This window comes from Homo sapiens, chromosome 10, assembly GCF_000001405.40.
Source record: "Homo sapiens chromosome 10, GRCh38.p14 Primary Assembly".
Lineage (NCBI taxonomy): Eukaryota > Metazoa > Chordata > Mammalia > Primates > Hominidae > Homo > Homo sapiens.
In genome coordinates this window covers 103,173,698-103,199,210 of record NC_000010.11, presented here as the reverse complement: position 1 = coordinate 103,199,210, position 25,513 = coordinate 103,173,698, and the positions used below count along the sequence as shown (strand labels likewise).

Here is a 25,513-nt window from a genome sequence, read left to right as displayed (position 1 = left end):
CTGGGATTACTGCATGCACCCAGCTAATTTTTGTATTTTTAGTAGAGATAGGGTTTTGCCATATTGGCCAGGCTTGTCTCAAACTCCTGGCCTCAAGTGATCTGCCTGCCTCAGCCTCCCAAAGTGCTGCAATTACAGGCATGAGCCACAGTGCCCAGCCAAAACTTCATTCCTTTTTATGGCCGAATAATATTCCATTGTATGTATATACCATGTCTTGTTTATCCATTCATGTGTTGATGGACACTTGGGTTGTTTCCATCTTTTGGGCATTGTGAAAATGGTGATACGAATATTTGTGTACAAGTATCCGTTTGAGTGCCTATTTTTAATTATTTTGGGTATCTACCTAGCAGCAGAATTGCTGAGTCATTTGTTTAATTTTTTCGAGGAATGACAACAATGCACGAGGGTTCAAATTTCTCCATATCCTTGCCAACACATGTTATTTTCCATTAAAAAAACTATATCCACGCGTATGAAGTGTATGTATTTGATTCTAACTCTCCTATATCCTCGAGAATCCATCTCTTCTGAAACTCTGAAGATCTTTGGGGTCACTAATCTGGCATGAGGCTTACAATGACCTGCCTTCATTTTTTACCCAAGTGTCTGATTTCCTTAATAGATGTTCAGCAACTTTGGAACAAGGTGTGGGTGGGGGATCAATTTGAATCTCCAGTGTCTACTATCTGGTAGATGTTCAACAAATAAAATAATTGCGATAAAGGTCGCAGATCTTGTCTCTCTCACACTGTAGACACCCAGTGGAAGTTTCCAAAAGGCATCTGAGAGATTTTTGCTTAATTCAAATGAATTAATTTTCATGACTATGTGAGGCAGTTAGTTGTTGGTTACATTTAAACTGCTAATCTGATCCCTGCCACTCTGCTTGATGCCCGTCAGTTACTCTCCATTGCACTTAAGGTTGGGGCCCCTGTTCATTAACGTGGTCTGCAGTGCCCTGCCAGGTCTGACCTTGCCTCCCTCCAGGGCTTTCTCCCTTTTTCTTTAGGCTTGGGTTATTCCTTAGATACACAAGACTCATCTCTAGCACCAGCTGTTTTCTCTTTCACTCTTGCAAACAAGTTCCCCCTCACTTTTGCCTCCCTCACTCCCTTCCTTCCTTCCTCTCCCTCTCTTTATTCCTCTCTTTCTCTCTCTCTTTCTTTCCTTTTTTGAAACAGGGTGTTGTTCTGTCACTCAGGCAGGAGTGCAGTGGTCCGGTCATAGCTCACTGAAACCTCAAACTCCTGGGCTCAAGTGACCCTCCTGCTTCAGCCTCCCAAGTAGCTAGGACTATAGGTATGTGCCACCATGCTGGGCTAATTAAAAAAAATTTTTTTTTTGTAGAGATGGGGTCTTGCTACGTTCTCCAGGCTGGTCTTAAACTCCTGGGCTCAAGCGATCCTCCTGTCTCAACCTCCCAAAGTGCTGGGATTACAGGTATGAGCCACTGCACCCGGCCCTCTCACTTTTTCACCTGAGTCCTACTCACCCTTCAGATCTCAGCTGAGATGTCATTTCCTCAGGGAACTGTTTCCTGACCCTCACCCGATCCTAACTCTAAACTCCATTTTGTTCTCCCTCATAGCATCTTTTACTTTTCCTGCATAGCACTTATCAAAATTGTAGTAAAGCAACTTTTTGTTTATTTAGCGTTCATCTTCCAAGTAGTCAGCAGTCTCCATGAGGGCAGCAACTCATGTCTGTATCCGTCAGTGTTAGGCACATAGTAGGCACTCAATGCGTAGTTTTGAGGAGAGCTTCTACCAAGAAGCAGAAAAACTGATGAGTGGCTTGTGAATGCTGCTGATATTCTGGGTGACTCAGAGTTTCTGGGTATTCTGGGGAAAACAGTGTAGGTCAGATTGGATAGGACAGTCACATGAGTGCCTGGCAGGAAGTTGATGAGAGGCCATCCAAGGCCACAGTGGGGTGGCCTCTTTTGCCAAGCAGTGCCCAGGCTCTTCAGCTAATGTCAGGTTAGAGACCTCAAGCAAGCTCTTTATGGTTCCTCAGCCTCCCAGCCCTTTGTTAGAAGGTTGTTTCATGAGTTGGCATGGCTTTTCTTACCCTTGAAAGTCATGAGGCAAAATTGTTCTATCCTTTTGCATTTAAAAGAATTAATTTTTTGTTATAAAAGCAATACATGATTACACTTATCTTCCAAAACATTAAAAGGAAAGCCAATACTCCCTTTGAACATTCTCTCAATAAAATAATGGTCCTTTATCCCTAGCTTAGAGAGAACTTCTGATATATTTTGGGCATGTAGCTTTACAGACCTGTTTTAAAAATCTTTCATAAACCTAATGTATGATAATAGGGAATAATGGTATTATTTATGTGTGTTCTGTTTTAGCTTTTTATTTTGAAATAATTTTAGATTTACAGAGGAGTTGCAGAGCTAGTATAGAAAGTTTCAACATACACTTCACCCAGCTTCTCTTAATGTTAACAATTTATGTAACCCTGGTTCAAAACTAAGAAATTAACAGTAGCACAATACTAATAACAGAACTACAGACCTTATTCCAGTTCAGACCTTATTCCAGTTTCACCAGTTTTTTCACTAATGTCCTTTTTGTGTTCCAGGATACCACATTGCGTTTAGTTATCAGATCTCTTTAGTCTCCTATCTGTGAATACGACAATCTCTGACAGTTTCTCAGTCTTTCCTTGACTTTCACAACCTTGACAATTTTGAAGATTACACATCAAGTATTTTGTAGAATATTCCCTCAATGTGGGTTTATTTGATGTTTTTTCATGATTAACTGAAGTTTTGCATTGGGGGAATAATTTTTTAAATATTGATACTATCCATCTATCTATATATAATAGATAGATATAGATAAATAATTCTGCAACTTCCTATTTTCATTCAAAAATATGACTAAGATATATCCATGTTGATTCATGCAGATCAAAGTCACTTCTTTTATTTTTTATTATTATTATTTTTGGAGACAGGGTCTTTCTCTGTCACCCAGGCTTGAGTGCAGTGGCACGATCACAGCTTACTGCGGCCTTGACCTCCTGGGCTCAAGTGATCCTCCCACCTCAGCCTCCTGAGTAGCAGTTGCAACTACATGCTGGAGCCACCACGCCCGGCTGATTTTTAAAAACTGTTTGTAGAAATGAGGTCTCACTATGTTGCCCATGCTTCATTTAAATTCTCTATAGAATTTTATTATATAAATATTCTACATTTTAGTTAGCCACCCCCCATTGGTGGGCATTTAGCTGATTCTAAATTTTCTTTCTCTCTCTCTTTTTTTTTTTTTAAAGACAAAGTTTCACTCTGTCACCCAGGCTGGAATGCAGTGGTGCAATCTCGGCTCACTGCAACCTCTGCCTCCTGGGTTCAGGCGATTCTCCTGCCTCAGCCTCCTGAGTAGCTGAGATTACAGGTGTGCGCCACCACACCTGGCTAATTTTTGTATTTTTAGTAGAGACAAGGTTTCACCATATTGGTCAGACTGGTCTTGAACTCCTGACCTCATGATATGCCAGCCTTGGCCTCCCAAAGTGCTGAGATTACATATCAATTCTTTTTTTTTTTTTTTTTTTTTTTTTTTGAGACGGAGTCTCGCTCTGTCGCCCAGGCTGGAGTGCAGTGGCGGGATCTCGGCTCACTGCAAGCTCCGCCTCCCGGGTTCACGCCATTCTCCTGCCTCAGCCTCCTGAGTAGCTGGGACTATAGGCGCCTGCCACCACGTCCAGCTAATTTTTTGTGTTTTTAGTAGAGACAGGGTTTCACCACGTTAGCCAGGATGGTCTCAATCTCCTGACCTCGTGATCTGCCCGCCTCGGCCTCCCAAAGGGCTGGGATTACAGGCGTGAGCCACCGCGCCCGGCCTCATTCTTTTTATTATTGATTTGTTAAGAGTCCTTTATAGACAAATCCTTTGTCTTTTGTGTATTGCGAATAGTTTTCCCCTTATTCTGTTATCTTTTAACTTTGTTTTCAGTTTTTTTCAAGTTATTCCATCTCTCTGATTTTTTAAATTCTTTTTTCTGATTTATTTTTTAAAACAAAGTTCTTGATTATAAAAGTAATACAAACACCGTAAGAAATTAATACAAAAGTACAAAGAAGAAACCACCCCATCTTATCACTGAGAGAAAACAACATAATCAATTACATATTTCCCTGTAGTCTTTTGCGTGTGCAGTTTTTTTTCACAGTTGTGATCACATTCATTTGTGTGTGTCTCTATATTTGTTTTTCTCTCAGTACCATAGTGTTTAGACACAAACCCTGGCCTTTTTTCGTTTCTTCTTTTTTTTTTTTTTTGGAGATGGAGTCTCCCTCTGTCGCCCAGGCTGGAGTTCAGTGGCGTGATCTTGGCTCACTGCAACCTCCGCCTTCCGGGTTCAAGCGATTCTCCTGCCTCAGCCTCCCGAGTAGCTGGGACTACAGGTGCGTGCCACCATGCCCAGCTAATTTTTGTATTTTTAGTAGAGATGGGGTTTCGCCATGTTGGTCAGGCTGGTCTTGAACTCCTGACCTCAAATGATCCACCTGCCTTGGCTTCCCAAAGTGATGGGATTACAGGTGTGAGCTACCACGCCCCGCCACCCTGGCCTTTTTTCAAATGCACTTGGTTTAAAGATTGTGTTATGCCAGCTTCCAACCCCTATTCCTCTTTTCCATATATCCTGAGAAATTTAGAAGGTGAGGGGCCCAAGGTCTATCCTTAGCTGACCTGAAGCGAAGTTGGCTGAGAAGCACAAGAAGGGGTAGAAGTGCTCTGGCGGAGCACTTATTAAAAAGACGCGGAGGTTTTGGTTGACTGCAAGCCCAATATGAGTCAACAGTATGGGTGCCAAGAACTTTATCGCAGGAGTGCAAAGCGATAGGTCCCAAAAGGAGGAAGCTATAGTCCTGCTTTGCTCTGATGATACCACAAACATTTGGTTCAGTCTTGGGTGATGTATTCTAAAGAAATCACAGTCAAATCTACCATTTGCGTGAGAGGGATAAAGACCCTCAAAACCAGGGCAGAGGAGGAACAATGGAAGGAACGGGAGACACTGATGTGGAATGAGAAGACCTTGGGCAGAGGTGATAGAAGTAAAGTATCTGAAAAGTCAAAGGTCCAGGAGAGATTAGACGTTTGTTCTCTGTGGCTCCAAGGCATCGAATTTCGGCCCTGAGAGTGGAAGTTTAGACACATTTTCTCACTGGTGAGAGCTGCTCGGACCAAGGAATTCAGTCCTCTGGAAATAGCTAGCTGCTTTTGCGGAGTCTTCCTGCTGAGTTGCTGGTGGTGGGGTGAACATTTATTGAGTGCTTACTGTGTGCCAGGATCCTGCTGAGGGCCTCACCTATATTGTGTGATTTCATCCCGTCAACACCCTTTGATGTGGGGACTGTTGTTCCCTATCCTGGTGCTACAAATGTGGGCACCAGGTATAGGAGGTCAGGTACCTCGCCCGAGGTTACAGTTTGTAAGTGGTGGTACTGGGACTGGAACTCGTTCTGACAAACTTCAAAGCTGGTGTTTTTAGCCATCAAGGGGATTCGAGGGTGCCATGGGGGTGTGGACGCATGAGGGGCCTTGAGGTCCATTAGACCAAAACATTCTGTGACTGGGAAAAAGGATGCCCTCTCCTCCCAAGGAAAAGCTTCTTCTGAATGAGACACAGTGGAGAGGTTAGCCCAGGGCCAGGCTGAGGGGCGCAGGCAGAATGCCAAGGGATGGAGACCCTCAGAAGGGCAAAGCCGGTGTTCCATCGTTTGAAGATCTCCAGACCCGCGGGACAGACAGACGCAGCGCGGTCAGGGAGCGTCGGCTTCGCCGAACTCTGCGGCGGAGCTGGGGGACGGAACAGCGCGCCGGTCCCTGGCCGGGCGCGAGCAGAGGGGCGGCGCGGGGCGGTGCCGGGCGGCGGGGGCGGGGAGGGCGCGCGTTGAGGCGGCTGCGGCAGTTGCGCGCTGGGATTGTTGCGGTGCGCTGGAGCCGGTGAGTGCGGCGGGCCCCGTGGGCGGGCGGGGAAGGAGCGGGCGAACGGGGAGCTAGGTGGGGAGGTGCGCGGCCGAACACGCGACCCCAGGGTAGCGGCCGCCGCCTGCCCCCGCCCCCGGCCCCCAGGGACCATGGCCCCAAGGCCCCTCTCCTTAGGCCGAGTCCCCGCCAGCGCGCTCGCGGACGCCGCACGCCTCCCAACTCCCTCGGTGCGGCCCCCGCCCCACGGCAGCCCCTTCCTCCGCGCCGCCGCGACGCCTCCGGCCCACGTCACGCTCGCGCCATTGTTTCCCAGCCGCCGGCTCGCTGGGACCCCGCCTCAGCCTCCCAGCGCGGCCGTTCGCCGCGTTCCGCCCTCTTCCCCCCTTTCCTCACGCTGGTGGTAGCCCTTTCCTCAGTCCTGCTGACGTCCTCCAGCTGATTCCAGGCTGTTCCCGGCCACCCCTGAGGCCGTCTTTTCGCTTCTTGTAAAAGCCTCCCCGCCCCCAGAGCTCCTCGGTCGCCTCCCGAGAAGCCAAGGGGCCTCTGGTGGAGCGCCAGGTTGACAGCGTTTTAGCAGGACCGCGAGAAACGGCCAGCTCGTTTGCCACACGCCCGTGTGCAACACTTCCTGGAAAGGTCACAGCGAATTGCAAGCCGCCACAAAAAACATCCGGACAGCTCCTGGTCAGGGGGCTGAGCCGTTCAGTGGCGGCCTATTCTTCTCCTTTTTTCGGGGCTCCTGAAATCGGAGAGGGCGAGATGCCGATCTGAGGCCTGAACCCTTAGTTTAAGAAAAACGTTTTGGGGGTTTGACTCCGGCAGGCCACAGCTTCTAAAAGCAGCAGGTAGAGGCTGCTGTCCGAATCGACGTTTTCCTGGGCTTTCACCTTTAGGGCCTTGATGTTTGAGGGGGGTCGTGCTCTGAAGTACAGCGCCCCGAAATGACTAGTCACCATTACAGGGGGGTGTGTGCGCGCCCGTCCAGGGGCCGATGAGTTCTTCAGGATTGAGCTGTACTTGGTTCCCAGTGTCTGTAGACTATTCATTTCGCCTCTTCAAGCAACGAATGCAAACTACTGACCATAATGTGAAAGGGAGAATATTGAAACTGTGTCATTTACCATGAAAACTTAGTGTTATTGCGTAGAGAAGGCTTTAGGTTTCAAAAATATTTACCACATGGCTTTTCAACAACGGTTAGAATTTATCCAGATGAAGACATCCAGGCCTGAAAGGGTGAAGTTCGAAAAGAGAAAAAAAATAGGTGTGAGCTGAGAGTGGAAAAAAAAAAAAGAACAAAAAAGGTTAAGTTCAAGAAAACATAGCTGGTTAGTAATTAAAATAAAAACTCCACATGCAGGGTTGATACTAGCATACACAGACTTATTTCTGAAGTGCATTTCCATTGCAGTGTAAACCACTACATTTCAACAGTATAGGTAGCTGCATTACTCTCATTGACCCAGAATTAAGGTTTTAGGATTTAGTAACCAACAAATCTGTAAAATAAGGTGGAGGGGCGCGGGGTGGAGTGGGGGGGGTTCTGAAGGAGATGTTATGCAAGATTCCTTTCAGTTCAAAGGTTTGATGCCATTGTATGAAAATTTACCATCAGCTACAAGTTTTCAGAAGTTTGTAATTGTAAGAAGATTTATATAGATAGTATTCCCTTATAGTACCTGCCACCCTTAACCAGAAGACATCACATCTTCCTAAAGAAAGCCAGATTACAATAGAATGTTAGGCACAGAGGTGCTCATTAATCTTTCTCTAGGCTATTTCTCCTGTTTTATGGGGAAAGAGGAGTACATAAAACACAGGTTTTTTTTTTTAAGTATTTCCTCTCTCTCTCTTTTTTTTTTTTTTTTGAGACGGAGCTTTGCTCTTGTTGGCCAGGCTGGAGTGCAATGGCATGATCTTGGCTCATTGCAACCTCCACCTCCCGGGTTCAAGCAGTTCTCCTGCCTCGGCCTCCCGAGTAGCTGGGATTACAGGCATGCGCCACCACGCCTGGCTAATTTTGTAGAGACGGGGTTTCTCCAAGTTGGTCAGGCTGGTCTCGAACTCCTGACCTCAGGTGATCTGCCCGCCTCGGCCTCCCAAGTACTGGGATTACAGGCTTGAGCCACTGCGTCCGACCCTGTTGCTTAATTCTCTTACCAAAAGCTTAATTCAGTGAAATAGTAAATAACAACAAATCCCCAAAAACAAAAACCCACAACTTTGTCATGTTATGACTGTGCTCTTTTAAAGTACTTACATAGACTGGTTTTTATCTAGTACACTTGCTGTGTACATATTATTTGGGATTTTGCTCTTACCAATATTTCTGGGATGTCCATGTATTTAGAGAATTCATCTAATCTTCATTAGTAGATGCTCTCTAATGTGCCCCGGTAGTCAACAATGCCTGGCACACAGGCTCTTAGTAAATTTTTGTTGAATAAGTGTTGTAATGTTTTGAGGTTTTTAGACATTTAACACAAAATACTAACTATCACAAGGCATATGTTGAGTGACGTGAGCAGTAAAGGCAGTCATACTTTCAGCCAGGAGACATTGCATTTATTTAAGGGCCCGGATTTTGTAGTCTGGCTTGCTACTTAACATCATGCAACCTCGGGGAACTCAGTTAACCTTAGACAAGCTCACTCAGTTTCTCTCACCTTGAGAAGGGAAAAATAGAACAAATTTTACAGAGTTATGTGGATTAAATAGAATAATTCAGTTGAAGTGATACTGGCACACATTAAGTTCTCTATAAATGTTAGTTTTTTTTGCTCAGAGTGAAGGAATATTAATGTAGCTTGGTGGGATCAGGAAAAACAGTAACACTTCAGAGTAGGGAGAAGATGCTGAAGTGGATGTATTGAGGGTATGATTAATAGATTGTTCTCACTAAAAGGGTTTGGTAGAGCAGTAGTCTGAGATAAAACTGGAAAGAGAAATTCTGGTAAGCAGTTTACAAGTATGCTACATGGATTCTTTGCAATTAGAGCGGAGTGAATGACCACCTGAGGTCAGGAGTTTGAGACCAGCCTGGCCAACATGGTGAAACCCCATCTCTACTAAAAATACAAAAATTAATCAGGCGTGGTAGCGCATGCCTGTAATCCCAGCTACTTGGGAGGCTGAGGCAGGAGAATCGCTTGAACCCAGGAGGCGGAGGTTGCAGTGAGCTGAGATTGCGCCACGCACTCCAGCCTGGGTGACAAGAGTGAAACTCTGTCTCAAAAAAAAAAAAAAAAAAAAAGAAAGCCACAAAATTAATGCGGCAAACCGGCCAGGTGCGGTGGCTCACGCCTGTAATCCCAGCACTTTGGGAGGTCGAGGCAGGTGGATCACCTGAGGTCAGGAGTTCGAGACCAGCCTGGCCAACATGGTGAAACCCCGTCTCTACTAAAAATATAAAAAATTAGCTGGGCGTGATGGCGCCCACCTGTAGTCCCAGCTACTCAGGAGGCTGAGACACGAGAATCGCTTGAACCTGGGAGGCAGAGGTTGCAGTGAGCCTATATCGTGCCACTGCACTCCAGCTTGGGCGACAGAGCATCTCAAAAAAAAAAAATTCAGTAAACAGTAAAAGAAAAAAGTTAAAAAAATTATGACAGTCTTAATCTTTGTTTTTTTTTTCGTTTTTTTTTTTGAGATGGAGTCTCGCTCTGTCGCCAGGCTGTAGTGCAGTGGTGCGATCTCGGCTCACTGCAGCCTCCGCTTCCTGGGTTCAAGCGATTCTCCTGCCTCAGCCTACCGAGTAGCTAGGACTAAAGGCGTGTGCCACCACGCCCAGCTAATTTTTGTATTTTTAGTAGAGATGGGGTTTCACCATGTTGGCCAGGATGGTCTCAATCTCTTTACCTCATGATCCGTCCGCCTTGGCCTCCCAAAGTGCTGCGATTACAGGCGTGAGCTACCACGCCCGGCCCTTAATTTTAATTGTTAAAATTTGATAAAGAAGGTGGGTAGTAGACATATCAAATGATCATTATATTATTTTCTGTGTGTTTGAAATATTTCACAGTATTTTAAGATGAACCTAAAATAAAACATTAAAGAAACTCCATTAAACTAATGAGCCTATAAAAATATATATCCCACTGGGCATCTGTAATGAAAACATGCTAATACTCAGCAAGCTTACTGATTTTTTTTTTTAAGCCGTTAAATTTCAGGCATCAGATTTCAGTCTTCTCTTTCCAAGCACATAGTACAAGCAGGCTCTTTCATCCCACACTCTTTTTTTTTTTCCGAGACGGAGTCTCACTTTGTTGCCCAGGCTGGCTCGATCTCAGCTCACTGCAACCTCTACCTCCTGGGTTCAAGCAATTCTCCTGCCTCTGCCTCCCGAGTACTACAGGCATGCTGAGAATACAGGCATGTGACACTGTGCCCGGCTAATTTTTGTGTTTTCGGTAGAGATGGGGTTTCACCATGTTGGCCAGGCTGGTTTCAAACTCCTGACCTCAGGTGACCTGCCCACCTCAGCCTCCCGAAGTGCTGGGATTATAGGCATAAGCCACTGCGCCCAGCCCAAATTCGTATGTTATACAGAATTTTCTGATTTATAAATGTGGGCAACTGATCGTAAAAAATTGTAAAAAACACTGTGACCTCTACAGAATCTGGACCCATAAATCTGTTTCTACATCTGGAAGGGAACTTGAGAGTCTTCCACGTTCAATGCCTTCATTTGACAGATGGGGAAAGTGAATCCCAAAATGTTTTGCATTTTTTGTCTTTTATGCAAGAAAGTCTTCCCTACCTTTGATCCGTAAGGCTGTTCATCTCTATATTCTTCTGTAAATTGTATGGTTTTGCTTTTTCACATTTAGGTTTATTGACAGTGCGTATTTTTTTCTGCTTAGTTTATCTTTATTTTTTATTTATTTATTCATTTTTGATTTTTGCACTGTCGCCTGGGCTGGAGTGCAATGGCGTGATCTCTGCTTACTGCAACTTCCACCTCCTGGGTTCAAGTGATTCGTCTGGCTCAGCCTCCCGAGTAGCTGGGATTACAGGCGCCCGCCACCATGCCTGGCTAATTTTTTTGTATTTTTAGTGGAGATGGGGGTTTCGCTATGTTGGCCAGGCTGGTCTCGAACTCCTGACCTCGTGATCCACCTGCCTCGGCCTCCCAAAGCATTGGGATTACAGGCGTGAGCCACCGCGTCCGCCCTATTTTATCTTTAATATGATCAGCTAGTATTTGTGTTACATATTCTTTTTCTACCATTATGTTTGTCATAAAATTATGCTCTATAAATTCATAAGGACAGGACATGCTTTTGTTATGCTCTGATTTTGGGTCAGAATATTGTAGAAAATGAAATTTTTGAATTCATTTTAGTGTAAATATTTTACAGATTTCTGCTCTTCTACATTATTTTGTCTCATTTGCCTTTAAAGATGAGTAGTACATGTATTTGACTATCCTTGAAAAATATTTTGCACACTTTTTATAGCAGTCATATTAGAATCTAGTTAGGCATTTGTGTATCTCTATCTAGTTTGTTTGAGAGCTGCTAAGTAAACCAGCTAGAATAATAGTGTGTAGATTGAAATAGCTCAAACATTCTGTATCAAAATTATAAGAATTTTAAGTTATTTTAATAAGCATTTAACAGTATCATGCTGTGTAAATAAGACCAAGCTGTGGCTTGGAGAGTAAACATTAAAAGTTTTTTTTTTTTTTTTTTTTTAAGATGGATTCTCACTCTGCCCCCCAGGCTGAAGTGCATTGGTGCAGTCTCAGCTCACTGCAACCTCTGCCTCCCGGGTTCAAGCAATTCTCTGCCTTAATCTCCCGAGTAGCTGGGATTACAGGCGCCCACCACTACACCTGGCTAATTTTTTATTTTATTTTATTTTTAGTAGAGATGGAGTTTCTTCATTTTGGCCAAGCTGGTCTTGAACTCCTGACCTTGTAATCTACCCGCCTCAGCCTCCCAAAGTGCTGGGATTACAGATGTGAGCCACTGCAACTGGCCTTTTTTATTTTTTTAAGGTGGAGTCTCTCTGTGTTGCCCAAGCTGGAGTGTAGAGGTGCGCTCTCAGCGTACTGCAACTTCCGCCTGCTGGGTTTAAGCGATTCTCCTGCCTCAGCCTCCCTAGTAGCTGGGATTACAGGTATGCGCCACCATGCCTAGCTAATTTTTGTATTTTTAGTAGAGACAGGTTTTGCCCTGTTGGCCAGGCTGGTCTTGAACTCCTGACCTCAGGTGATCCGCCCACCTCAGCCTCCCAGAGTGCTGGGATTATAGGCGTGAACCACCGCCCCTGGCCTAACATTAGAATCTTTCACAAATCTGGTCAGTAAATGCCTTTTTTTTTTTTTTTTTGAGACGGAGTCTTGCTCTGTCACCCAGGCTGGAGTGCAGTGGCTCCATGTCAGCTCACTGCAGCCTCCATCTCCCGGGTTCAAGCTGTTCCTCTGCCTCAGCCTCCCTAGTGCTGGGATTACAGGCATGTGCCACCACGCCTGGCTATTTTTTTGTATTTTTAGTAGAGACGGGGTTTCACTGTGTTAGCCAGGATGGTCTCGATCTCTGTACCTTGTGATCCGCCCGCCTCGGCCTCCCAAAGTGCTGGGATTACAGGCATGAGCCACCGCACCCAGCCAGTAAATGCCATTTTTTTAAGCCTTGAATTACTCGTTTACTTTTGAAGTAGGTTTGGTGAAATAAATCTTGAATTAATTCTCTCTAGGTCTGAGAGCTTCCAGGAAGAAAGGAAACAAACCTATAGCTATAGTTGTCCTTATATTTAGGATACTTTAATTGACGTGATAAATGTGTGAAATTGTTACAGCCTCTGATACGTAATGGACGCTATGAGGTTTTGACTCCAAAAGTAGAAGCCTATTACTCATTCCTGCAAACATCAAGTACTGTATTGTGCTAAGGCTTCAAGTATTCAAACATCTTGCACTCAAGCATTATAAACAGTTTATATTGACCAATTTCCATGTCTCAGCCACTGTTCTTAGCACCTTACATCCTTGTTCCAACTCTACCTGTTTTGCAATGGAAGAAACTGTAGTGCTTATAATTTGCTTAGTCGTAGAGCTAGTTGGTGTTAGAGCCAGGTTTTGAACGCAGGCAGTGTGGCTCCAGAATCCGTACTCTTAACCACAGTATAATTCTGTGACTTCAAATTATCTAACTTCTCTTTCCTGTTTACTTCTTCGTAAAATGAGGATAATAGTACCTAACATATAGGGTTGTTCTGAAAAGTCAGTGAGTTAAAATATGTACTATGCTGCTTAGAATCATACATGAAAAATAGTAAGTACTCAATAAATGTCAGCTGTTATTATGTTAGCATTATTAAGGCATCGAACTCATGCATATCTCTGAATTTTAACCAAATAGGTGGACTAAACCTTAAGTATGAATTTATATATTAAAAGGTAGAAATACTGTGGTCTGTGGTTATTTATGCCTTTCCGATTTTATCTTTTTAAATTATTTTGTAACAGGAAAAATAAGAGCTAAACCAAAGTTGAATGGTGAGCAGGAGTTCATTGGTAAGAGAATGAGTTCTTTCCTGAAATAAAGCAGTTTTTTACCTGCTTTTTTTTTTTTTTCCTTTTTTTTTTTTTTGGAGACAGGGTCTTTGTCTGTTGTCCAGGCTGGAGTGTGCAGTGGTGCGATCTTGGCTCACGCAATCTCTGCCTTCCCGGCTCAAGCAATCTTCCTACCTCAGCCTCCCGAGTAGCTGGGTCTACAGGCACCCGTCACCATGCCTGTCTAATTTTTGCATGTTTTTATAGAGATGGGGGTTTTGCCATGTTGCTTAGGCTGGTCTCGAACTCCTAGGCTCAAGGGATCCGCCTGGCTTGGCCTCCCAGAGTGGTGGGATTATAGGTGTGAGCCACTGCACCTTGCCCTATGTATTTTTTTTTTTTAAAGGAGTATTCAGGAGTCATTACTAAAGGTGCAAAGTATTATATATCGTCTGAATGTAAAAATTGTACAGCTGGTTTATACCTTTATGCTTTTGAAGACCTCAGTTAATTATGGCAACGTTTTGAAGAAATAGCTCAGTCTTTTAAAATGTTTTCCTTACATGCTCTCTTGTTCCTTTGTGTCAATAACCATGTTATTGTTGAAGGTCCGGTATTATTCAAAACATTCAGTTAGAAGCAGCCTTAATGTGTTGATGTAGAACAAATATATAGCATTCTATGTGATATGGCAGGATAGTAGCAATAGAATGTTGATGAGAACATAGCAAAATTAGTCTTTTTTGTATATTTTCAAAAGTTTAGGAACAGATGAAATAAATTTGTAGTTTCTAGTTACAATTTCAGACTACAGATAGGAGCATGTAGCTGCTTGAAGAAGAAAAACAAATTGTCAAGGCAACAGGTACTGCATTTCTCACTCGACAAGTTCTCTCTTCTCAACTTTGTTATTTTTCCTTCGGAGAACAAGGAAGCTTTTGTTCCGAGGCCTGATGTTGAAATGTTAGCAAAATATTATGTTAATCAAGCCAAGAATCTTATGTATTTGTGAACCAAGAATAAGATTTCACAAAGATTCATTTAGAGTATTAAAAGGGACTTCTGCAGTTATTCTTGCATTTTCAGGCTTACACAAAAATAGGCTTCTGAAAAGCAAAGGGCTCCATGTGTAGACGTTTAATGGTTCATTTATTTCTGTCTGTTAAGTCTACTGTGCGAGATGCTGGGGATACAGCAGCAAATAAAACACTCCTCTCCCTTATGGAGCTTATATTTTGGAGAGATTGACAGAATGCAAACTGTCAAATGTAAGGGTTATGTGCAAAAAACAAGTAAAGCAGGGTAAGAGGACAGTGAGTGATGTGTGTGGGTAAGTGTGATGTTATTAGTTGGAGTTTGTTAACTGTTGGCATCACTTTGGTGTGTGAACTATTGAGTGTTGGCCTTTGACAGGAATGTGTAGTGCAGTTTGGGACAAGTGACATAAAGAACTCTGAATGAAAATAATGAAATGAAAAATAAACAAAAAAACTTGTTTATAGGCTGGGCACGGTGGCACATTCCTGTAATTCCAGCACTTTGGGAGGCAGGTGGATCACTTGAGGTCAGGAATTCGAGACCAGCCTAACCAACACGGTGAAACCCCGTCTGTACTAAAAATACAAAATTAGCCGGGCGTGGTGGCTCATGCCTGTAATCCCAGCTACTTGGGAGGCTGACGCAGGAGAATCGCTTGAATCTGGGAGGCGGAGGTTGCATTGAGCCGAGATCGCGTCATTGCACTCCAGCCTGGGCAACAAGAGTGAAACTCTGTCTCAAAAAAACTAAAAAAAAAAAAAACCAAAAACTTATCATGAACTATTTAAAAGATGAGAGGTAATGAAACATTTAAGATAATTTAAATGCAACAGTTTCAAGGAGCCTTCTGGAAAAATAGGCATTTCTTCATCTTAAACTATTTTATTTTTTAATTTTTATAGATTTAGGGGGTACAGTTTTGGATATATAGCATAGCAGTGGTCTGGCTTTTTAGTGTAACCATCACCTGAATAGTGTACATTGTACTCATCAGGTAATTTCTCATCCCTCACCCTCCTCCCACCCCCACTTAAAGTATATATATATGTGTGTGTGTATGTGTGTATGTATATGTATATATATATATATGGCGTGAACCCAGGAGGCAGAGCTTGCAGTGAGCTGAGATGGTGCCACTGTACTCCAGCCTGGAAGACAGAGCGAAAGAGACTTCGTCTTTAAAAAAAAAAAAAAAAAAAAGCATTTGTTTAATTATTTTTGCAGTAGAAGAAAAGAAAGGAAGAATGATGCAGAGGCAATATTGAGAGGGATTTGGGGCAGGAATTTTTCAAAATTCATTAGAGTTATTAAAGAACAGTTTAAAACTAGTAATTCCAAGAAGGAGGGATAGATTGTTAAAAAAAAAAAAAAAAAGCTAATAATTTCAGGAAAGAGGGGAGGGAAGGAGTGTGTGATATATATATATATATATATATATATATATATCACACACACACATATATATATATCTCCTTTCATGTGTTTTGTGATGATAAGGAGTAAAGGTTACAAAATACTTAAAAAAGCTATAGCTTATTTCACAGTGCTATTCTTTGAGTTATAGGTGACACTGTTAACTACAAATATGAGGATTTAGTTTTTCAGCAGTACTGGTAGATGAATTAAAGTAAACTTGCATCTGACTTTCCATGTTTTTAAGGGGATGTATTTGTAAGTAAGTTGGTCTGTGGCTATGTTACAGAGAGGCCCTTAAGCACAATATAATGATAAAACCAAATGTCTAACTACTATAGGTTATTGATTTTACTTGCTTATCTGCCAAGGACTAGGGTTATCAAAGACTGAATAAAATGTGGCTATTTAGTACAATATGAGGCATACAAATGGAGGATATAGCTTTAACTTTTGTTTTTCCATAAACTAGTTTAACATGAGTAATATGCAGTGAAAGTTGTTGTATTTAGAGACCAAAATAAGTTTCAGGCTGGTGAGAAAATTTGAAGAAATTATTCAAAATTATCCTTTCCATGTAAGTTTTAGGGCAGTGTTCTTAGAATGAGAATGAATGGTTGATTATAAAACTTAAAAATGCCAAGTTTAGTTTTTTTTTTTTGAGATGGAGTCTTGCTCTGTCACCCAGGCTAGAGTACAGTGGCGGGATCTCGGCTCACTGCAAGCTCTGCCTCCTGGGTTCAAGTGATTCTCCTGCCTCACCCTCCCAAGTTGCTGGGATTATGGGTGCCTGCCACCACGCCTGGCTACTTTTTATATTTTTAGTAGACAGGGTTTCACCATGTTGGCCAGGCTGGTCTTGAACTCCTGACCTCAGATGATCCACCCGCCTCGGCTTCCCAAAGTGCTGGGATTACAGGTGTGAGCCACCCAGGTTTTGTATTTTAAATACAAAATTAAAATTTGAGTGAAGTAGAAACTACTGATTATTCATACTGCTATTATTACCCTATTATCTATGTTGACATACTTATTCCATTGAAAAATGAATATTTGATTCAAATTGCCATGTGTTAAACACTGCCTGATAGACCTGCTCTACATATTGTTAAAGTGCTCCTCACTTTATTCCAAATGAATTACTGACCTGACTTGAAACAGACATGTAAAATGACTTTTTAAAGAGCGTTTGCCAATGTATAACTCTAGCAGCGTGGCATTTTGTCTTAATGCAGAATTGTCATGAAAAGAAGTGCTGACTGCTATTTTTTCTTTTTTTTTTTTTTGAGATAGAGTCTCGCTCTGTTGCCCAGGCTGGAGTGCAGTGGCGCAGTCTCAGCTCACTTCAACCTCCGCCTCCCGGGTGGGAGAAGCAATTCTCCTGCCTCAGCTTCTCGAGTAGCTGGGACTACAGGGATACGCCACCACGCCTGGCTGATTTTTTTCCGTTTTTAGTAGAGACAGGGTTTCATCATGTTGGCCAGGCTGGTCTCGAACTCCTGACCTCAAATGATCCACCCACCTTGGCCTCCCAAAGTGCCAGGATTACAGGCGTGAGCCACCACGCCAGGCCTTTACTGCTATTTTTATACTTTTATCAGTTTGGGCGTGAAGAATATTACTGTACTACATCATAATTCTTGAACTTTTCTTAACATTATGTTAAGTAATGAGGTAATTATGGGAGGGACAAAATTTCCTTTCATTGTAGTTTAAAGATAGTGGTCTTACTATATGTGGCTATCAGCATTTTATTGGCACACCATTTTGAAGGAAAGAATATTCAGTGCAGATTGCTAACCAGGCTTACCCTACAGTTTCAGTTGCTCTTTGCTTCCTGTTTTCAGCAGTTGCCTAGAGCTGTTGGAGCAGCTGTTTTCCTTTCTTTGGGGGAGGGTGATGGTAGTGGTGAAGGGGACTGTGCATGTTTTGCCTGTGAATTATTATTTTTTTTTTTTTTGAGACAGAGTTTCGCTCTGCTGCCCAGGCTGGAGTACAGTGATGTGATCTCCTGACGTCAAGTGATCCATTCGCCTCGGCCTCCCAAAGTTCTGGGATTACAAGTGTGAGCCACTGCCACTGGCTGAAAAAGTCTTATTGTGGCATAATTGGTATACAATAAGTTGCACAGAGTATATAATAAATTTTAACATATATATATGTACCCATGAAACCATCACCATAATGAAGATATTGAACGTATCACCCCTTCTCCCCAAAAGTTTTCCTGGGCTCCTTTGTAATACCTCCTCCTCTCCGTACTTGACCTCCTTACCCCAGGGAACCACTGGTCTGTGTTCTGTCAGATTAGTGTGCATTTTCTAGGATTTTATATATACGGAATCATACACTATGTACTCTTTTTGTCTTCTTTCACTCAGTGTAGTTATTACGAATTTTTTAATGTTTTGCATGTAAATACTTTATTCCTTTATATTGCATAGTAGTATTACATTGTACAGATGTACCATAATTTTTTTTATCCATTTACTTGTGGATAACATTTGGGTTGTTTGTAGTTTCTGGCCATTACAAAGCTGCTAAGAACATTTGTGTATAAGTTTTTTTTTTTCTTTTGAGACAGGATCTCTGTCGCCCAGGCTGGAGTGCAGTGGCACGAGACAATCTTGGCTCACTGTAGCCTCAACCTCTTGGGCTCGTGTGATCCTCCCAAGTAGCTGGGACTACAGGCATGTGCTACCATGCCCAACTAATTTTTCAATTTTCGTAAAGACTGCATTTTGCCATGTTGCCCAGGCTGCTCTTGAACTCCTGGGTTCAAGCAATCCACCCATCTTGGCCTCCCAAAGTGTTGGGATTAGAGGTGTGAGCCACTGTGCCCAAGCCTGTGTTCAAGTCTTTATATGGATATGTGCTTTAATTTCTCTTGGACAATTACTTACAATTAGAAAGTCTGGGACATATGATAGATATATGTTTAAGTTTTAAAGAAATGGCAAACTTTTCCAGAGTGCTTGTGCCTTTTTTATTTTCTTTCCAGCAGTGTAGTAGAATTCAGGTTGCTCTACATTCTCAACAACATTTGATACTGTCTTTTTAATTTTAAATATTCAAATAGGCATATTTTGGTATCTTATTGTGTTTTTAATTTGTATTTCCCTAGTGACAAATGATGTTAAACATCACTTCATATGCTTATTTGCCATTTGTATATATTCTTTGATGAAATGTCTATGCATATGTTTTGCCTGTATTTTAATTGGATTATTTAGCTTATTATTGCATTTTGAGAGCTCTTCCTATATTCTGGATACAAGTCCTTTTGTCAGATGTGTGTTTGCAAATATTTTGTCCCAAACCATAGCTTGTCTTTTTCCTCTCAATACTCTAATGGAAGGATAATATATAAATGCAATTTTGTTTTAGTTTTTTAAGTCCTCTGTTAGCCATGAAGAGGGACTTAAATTAAGTATACAAACAAGGTTGCAGAGATAATCTAACCTTCTAAGAGAATAAAATATTCTAAATCTTTTGCATATGCATATAAACCATAATATGCAAAACAGATTAATATGATGTTATATGCCAACCCTGTAGTAGGTTGGTTTATTGTTTGTTTTATTTTTTTGTTTAGAGATTGGGTCTCACTCTGTCACCCAGGCTGAAGTGCAGTGGTGTGATTATAGCTCACTGCAGCCTCAAACTCCTGGGCTCAAAGCGATCCTCCTGTCTCAGCCTCCCAAGTAGCTGGGAGTATAGTTGCAAACCACTGTGTTACTAAATACAAAAAATTAGCCGGGCATGGTGGTGTGCACCTGTAATCCCAGCTACTTGGGTGCAGTTGTTGTTTGTGTATATGCAGTTGCTGTTTGTTTTATTTTGTATATCACTCCTTTACTTTACTCAGGTCTCTGAACAAATATTACCTCCTCAAAGAGGCCTTCCATGGTTTTCCTACCTACAGTATTGTTACTGGAAAGGGGTCCTGATCCAGACCCCAAGAGAGGGTTCTTGGATCTGATGTAATAAAGAATTTAGGGCGAGTCCATAAAGTAAAGTGAAAGCAAGTTTATTAAGGAAGTAGAGGAGGCTGGGCACAGTGGCTCACACCTGTAATCCCAGCACTTTGGAAGGCCAAGGTGGGCAGATCATGAGGTCAGGAGTTTGGCACCAGCCTGACCAACATGGTGAAACTCCGTCTGTACTAAAAATACAAAAATTAGCCGGGCAAGGTGGTGCGTGCCTGTAATCCCAGTTACTCAGGAGGCTGAGGCAGGAGAATCGCTTGAACCTGGGAGGTGGAGGTTGCAGTGAGCCAAGATCGCATCACTGCACTCCAGCCTGGGTGACAGAGCAAGACTCTATCTCAAAAAAAAAAAAGAAAAAAAGAAAAAAGAAAACGTAGAGGAATACAGAGAAAACGTAGAGGAAACAGAGGAATGACCACTCTGTTTACAGAGCAACCCCAAGGGTTGCTTGCTTGTCTTTTTTTTTTTTTTTTGAGACAGTCTTGATCTTGTTGCCCAGGCTGGAGTGTAGTGGTGTGATCTCGGCTCAGCTCATTGCAACCTCCACCTCCCAGGTGAAAGCGATTCTCCTGCGTCAGCCACCTGAGTAGCTGGGATTACAGATGCGTGCCACCATGCCCAGCTAATTTTTTGTATTTAGTAGAGACGGGGTTTCACCATGATGGCCAAGATGGTCTCCATCTCTTGACCTCGTGATCCACCCTCCTTAGCCTCCCAAAGTGCTGGGATTACAGGCATGAGCCACAGGTCTTCCTCTGTCACTGAGGCTGGAGCGCAGTGGCATAATCAGCTCACTGCAAGCTCTGCTTCAACCTCCGCCTCACTGCAACCTCTGCTGGGCTCAAGTGATACTCCTGCCTCAGCCTCCCAAGTAGCTGGGACTACAGATACGGACCACCATGCCCAACTAATTTTTGTATATTTTGTAGAGATGGGTTTTTGCCATGTTGCCCAGGCTTTCAAACTCTTGAGCTCAAGTGATCCACCCACTTTGGCCTCCCAAAGTGATGGGATTATAGGCATGAGCCACTGCGCCTGGTCTGTGTACAAGTTTTATAGTTTTAGATATTACGTTTAGGTCTATGATCCATCTTAAATTTTGTATATGATGAGACGTGTGGATTAAGTTCACTTTTCCACAAAAGGAGAGCCAGTTGCGCCTGCACAGTGGATTATTATTCAGTCATTAGAAAGAATGAAATGTGATATGTGATACTACATGGATGAGCTTTGAAAATACTATGCCAACTGAAAGAAGGCAGACACAAAAGGTCACATGTTGTATGATTCCATTTATATGAAATATCCAGGATAGTTAAATCCAGAGACAGAGTCCAGATTGGTTGTTGCCAGGGGCTGGGTAGAGGGCATAGTGGGAAGAAACTGCTTAATGGATGAGGGGTTTTACTTTAGAGTCATGGAAGTATTTTGACACTAAAAGGAGTTGGTGGTTGCACTAAATGCCACCAACTTGTTCACTTTAAAGTGGCCAATTTTATGTGAATTTCCCCTGAATAAATTATTTTTTTAAAAGCCACAGAGGTGATTTATATAAAAAAGACTTAGCCTGGACAACATAATGAGACCCTGTCTGTACACAAATTAAAAAAAATAATAATTAGCTGGGTTTTGTAGTGAGTACCTGTATTTCTAGCTGTTCTGGAGCCTGAGGTGGAAGGATCACTTGAGTCCAGGAGTTCAGGGTTACAGTGAGCTATGATCATGTCACTGCACTCCAGCCTGGGCAACAGTGAGACCCTGTCTCAGAAGAAGGGAGAGAGGAAGGGAGGTATATATTGACTTCATGTCATAAACGATGTTAGCATTTTCAAGATGGGAAATAACAGGCTACAGATGTTTTCACAAATAATGCTATTTTTATAAAATATTAATCTACTACTTAACTCTAAGAGGATATTTTTCATCCTTATTTGAAACTACTTACTGATGAAAACTTCAAAAACAGAAGTGAAACCTAAGAATAGCCTAATGTAAAAGTAGTTAAAAACACTTAAGCTGCCCACCTCATTTTAGATGCTTATCCTAATTAGATGGAATGTTTTAGTTTATTCCTTCTTTTTGTTCATAGTCTTTATTGCCAGCTGAAAATAAGTTATTACAGAAAAATGTAAAAGCATTAAATAACTAGAAATCAAATATTTATTGCTTGTATTTGTGCCACCATTGACTGAGCTTAGTATGTTATCAAAATGTATTTATTTATCTTTTAAAGGGATGACATTTTTTCCTTTTCAAATGTTACAGTAAAACCAGGTGGAAGAGAATGGTTTTAGCAGCTTAAAAAAAAAAAGTACAAATCTGAGGTTTGGCCATTAAAAGTTTTATAACAATGGGAGAAGAAAAGACAAGTTGTTTCACATTACAGACCTACCCCAACCCCAAAGCCTAATGCTTTCTTACCAAGTCAAAAAAAGAGACACATTTGATGTACAAGCTGGAGGTTTCCACATGAGTAAGATATTTATGAAAACCTAGATGGAGGCCGGCGGGTGGCTCCCAACTGTAATCCCAGCACTTTGGGAGATTGAGGTGAGCAGATTGCTTGAACCCAGGAGTTCGAGACCAGCCTGGCCAACACTTTTTGTAGAGACCCCCTCGCCCCGGTCTCTGCCTGTGGTCCCAGCTACTAGGGAAGCTGAGTTGGGAAGATGGCTTGAGCCTGGGATGCAGTGAGCAGAGATCACGCCACTGCGACCCTGTTTCAAAAACAAACCAAAAACCTAGATGAGGCAGTGGCCTTTTCAGCCCAAGTGCCAGCAGACACAGCACAAGAGACTAAAACTCAACGGCGGGAGGCTGGGTATGCAATGTTTGGGAGTATAAGCACCACACTTCTGGCTCAGGGATTTGGGGAGTAGGGTAAACAAAACCTACTTGGAAAAGAATCGAGGAAGAAAACCAACAGTTGCCTTCTGCAGGGGTGGGGACAGGGAGGGAGGTAGGGCCAAGGCGAGGAGCATTTTACATCAGTGACCTAACCTGGGGAGCTATCAGGGCCTATCTTCAGCTGGCCTTAAGAGGAAAACCAGATCGCTGATGGGAGAATCCACAGGAGGGAGAGGGGAAAAGGGAATGTGGCTGGCAGGAGGCAATAGCCCCTTCCTTTCTGGGCACAGGAAGGCAGTCAGGGCACCAGGTCCAGGCAATGACCTCACAAGGACAGCACGGTTTTTGCTGCCCCCACCTAGCTCCTCATTCTGCTCAGCACTGCCTGGTATAGGGCCACTCTCTGCCCCAAGGGAGTGGATGTCTCTGTAGCCTGGGGCTTCTTCTGAGGCAGCATTACCCTCTGCCCCCTTGGCTTGGGGCTCCTGGCTCTCAGGGGTAGCAGCAGCCTTCCTTTCCTGGGCAGTGCCCTTGTTGCTACAGGCACCTTGCTCCTGCATTTCCTCTGGCTGAGAGGCAGAAGAACTGCCCCCGTCCTCCTTCCAATTTTTGTGGAAGAGCAGCCTGCTGAATTTGAAAGACTTCTTGAGAGAGAACTTATTAGGGGAGACTGCCCCCTTGGCCTCAGCACCCTGGATAGGGGATGCTGGCTCAATGGCATCGCCAGTGGCCCCGGCTGCCTCATGTGTTCTGTTCACAGAGGCAACACTCCTTCACCCTTGGGAGATAAGTCTTCATTGCTTTTCACGTGGCCATCGTCTTGTCCGTTGGCCTTTGCAGGGGAAGCACCTGCCGCAACCTTGGTGGTCACGTCTTCCGAGGAGCCTTGGAGCTCTGGCTGCCTATGATGGGGGTCTGCTGGGGGGTAGCCAGTATCCAACCCAGACTCACACCTTGGGGTAGTACAGCGGGGTTGGCTGGGCAGGCAGAGGGGTGGGGCTGGCGTCTTACGGGAATGGGGAAACGAGCTGTACCCCCATTCCAACCCGCTAGCTGTGCCTGCTACTGTTCTACTCCACACCAGAATCTGTTGATTAGAATTTAAAATTTGCCTACTACACACATTTTAAAAACATACATCAACTTAAAATTATATATCTTCACAAACTGCTGTGCTGTGGTTTTAGTGCCTTTTCTAGAATCTAGGATTAGAGTAATTACTGGCAGCCATGCTTAATTATTTGGAAGTATATGTTATCTTTCCGGATTGAAATTACCATATGAAATTATTTTTCCAACTTTAGATTATTGAGAAGTGTCAGTATAATTTTCAGCATATTTACTGTATTCAGTGTGTTTTAATAGGTAATTATATTAGGCAGTTTGCAAGCTGGAGTTTTTCTGATTTTTAAAAAAATCAGATGTCAGTATACAGATGCCAATATTAAGTTACTAAATTAATGATTTTCTTTTCTAGAATACAAAATACAGTTAAAATAAAATGTCAACCTCCTGGAGTGATCGGTTACAGAATGCAGCAGATATGCCTGCTAACATGGATAAGCATGCCCTGAAAAAGTATCGTCGAGAAGCCTATCATCGGTAAGTATTTTGTCTATTTAATCCTCAAAACCCCTCTATGAAGTGGGACTTCATTTTACAGATGATGAAATTAATGTACAGAGAGGTTAAGTAAATAACCCAGATCGTATGTCTAGTACATGGTACAAATCTAGTTCTAAGTCGAGACTTTTAACTACTAGTACACCATACTGCTTTGTGTATCTACTAGTAAAAGTATTTAAGAGAAAAATGTCTTTGGTTGCTAGAAAATTGCACCTAAGTTAATAAAAATTTTTTTTTCTTTCTTTTTTTGAGGGAGTGCTGGATGGACAGAGTCTTGCTCTGTTGCCCAGGCTGGAGTACAATGGCGCAATCTTGGCTAACTGTAACCTTCACCTCCCAGGCTCAAGCAATTCTCTTGCCTCAGCCTCCTGAGTAGCTGAGACTACAGGTGTGGGCTACTGCACCCAGCTAGTTTTTGTTTTCTTTTTTGAGACAGAGTCTCACTCTGTTGCCTAGGCTGGAGTGCAGTGGTGCAGTCTCAGTTCACTGCAACCTCTGCCTTCTGGCTTCAAGCAATTCTCATGCCTCAACTTCCCCAGTAGCTGGGATTACAGGCATGGCCCCATGCCAAACTAATTTTTGTAGTTTTGGTAGAGACAGGGTTTTGCCATGTTGGCCAGGGTGATCTTGAACTCCTGGCCTCAAGTGATCTCCCCACCTCAGCCTCCCGAAGTGCTGGGATTATAGGCTTGAGCCACCACACCCTGCCAAGAATGAATTTTTTTTTTTTTTTTTTTTGAGACGGAGTCTGGCTCTGTCGCCTAGGCTGGAATGCAGTGGCATGATCTCAGCTCACTGCAACCTCCACCTCCTGGGTTCAAGCGGTTCTCCTGCCTCAGCCTCCCAAGTAGCTGGGATTACAGGCGTGCGTCACCACGGCTGGCTAATTTTTGTATTTTTAGTAGAGACAGGGTTTCACCGTGTTAGCCAGGCTGGTCTTGAACTCCTGACCTCAGGTGATCCACCTGCCTCGGCATCCTAGAGTGCTAGGATTACAGGCGTGAGCCACCGCACCCAGCCCAGGAATGAAATTCTTGTATTTTTTATTTATTTACTTATTTTTTTTTTTTTAGTAGTGACAGGGTTTCACCATCTTGGCCAGGCTGGTTTTGAACTCCAGACCTCGTGATCCACCT

At 43.0% G+C, this 25,513-nt stretch overlaps 1 protein-coding gene and 1 pseudogene across 42 annotated transcripts in view, besides 6 other annotated features; one reads left to right on the top strand and one right to left on the bottom strand.

Annotated features, from left to right (window-relative positions):
- Nucleotides 1,608-2,089: a transcriptional cis regulatory region, noted in NCBI's record as "candidate enhancer chr10.3946 targeted for multiplex CRISPR interference". NCBI's record gives its function as "positively regulates NT5C2 gene expression with high confidence in K562 cells {active_cell/tissue: K562}" and the evidence as "EXISTENCE:mutant phenotype evidence [ECO:0000015][PMID:30612741]".
- Nucleotides 5,823-6,509: an enhancer, noted in NCBI's record as "H3K27ac hESC enhancer chr10:104952459-104953145 (GRCh37/hg19 assembly coordinates)". NCBI's record gives its function as "activates a minimal SCP1, AML or CMV promoter by ChIP-STARR-seq in primed H9 embryonic stem cells {active_cell/tissue: H9 hESC(primed)}" and the evidence as "EXISTENCE:reporter gene assay evidence [ECO:0000049][PMID:30033119]".
- Nucleotides 5,845-6,124: a silencer, noted in NCBI's record as "silent region_2776". NCBI's record gives its function as "represses an Ori minimal core promoter by ATAC-STARR-seq in GM12878 lymphoblastoid cells {active_cell/tissue: GM12878}" and the evidence as "EXISTENCE:reporter gene assay evidence [ECO:0000049][PMID:35858748]".
- NT5C2 (5'-nucleotidase, cytosolic II) overlaps nucleotides 5,939-25,513 on the top strand; it is a 105,256-nt gene continuing 85,681 nt past the window's right edge. For 17 of the 42 annotated variants that reach the window (XM_047424854.1, XM_047424852.1, NM_001351181.2 and 14 more), the window contains exons 1-2: nucleotides 5,939-5,975; nucleotides 24,229-24,353. In XM_047424854.1, coding sequence (XP_047280810.1) covers nucleotides 24,253-24,353 — 101 coding nt within the window. In that variant the 5' untranslated portion in view covers nucleotides 5,939-5,975; nucleotides 24,229-24,252. The other 25 variants (XM_047424856.1, XM_047424853.1, NM_012229.5 and 22 more) reach the window with 8 other exon arrangements.
- Nucleotides 6,510-7,198: an enhancer, noted in NCBI's record as "H3K27ac hESC enhancer chr10:104951770-104952458 (GRCh37/hg19 assembly coordinates)". NCBI's record gives its function as "activates a minimal SCP1, AML or CMV promoter by ChIP-STARR-seq in primed H9 embryonic stem cells {active_cell/tissue: H9 hESC(primed)}" and the evidence as "EXISTENCE:reporter gene assay evidence [ECO:0000049][PMID:30033119]".
- Nucleotides 11,802-12,301: an enhancer, noted in NCBI's record as "H3K4me1 hESC enhancer chr10:104946667-104947166 (GRCh37/hg19 assembly coordinates)". NCBI's record gives its function as "activates a minimal SCP1, AML or CMV promoter by ChIP-STARR-seq in primed H9 embryonic stem cells {active_cell/tissue: H9 hESC(primed)}" and the evidence as "EXISTENCE:reporter gene assay evidence [ECO:0000049][PMID:30033119]".
- Nucleotides 12,302-12,803: an enhancer, noted in NCBI's record as "H3K4me1 hESC enhancer chr10:104946165-104946666 (GRCh37/hg19 assembly coordinates)". NCBI's record gives its function as "activates a minimal SCP1, AML or CMV promoter by ChIP-STARR-seq in primed H9 embryonic stem cells {active_cell/tissue: H9 hESC(primed)}" and the evidence as "EXISTENCE:reporter gene assay evidence [ECO:0000049][PMID:30033119]".
- MARCKSL1P1 (MARCKS like 1 pseudogene 1) lies at nucleotides 22,133-23,838 on the bottom strand (annotated as a pseudogene).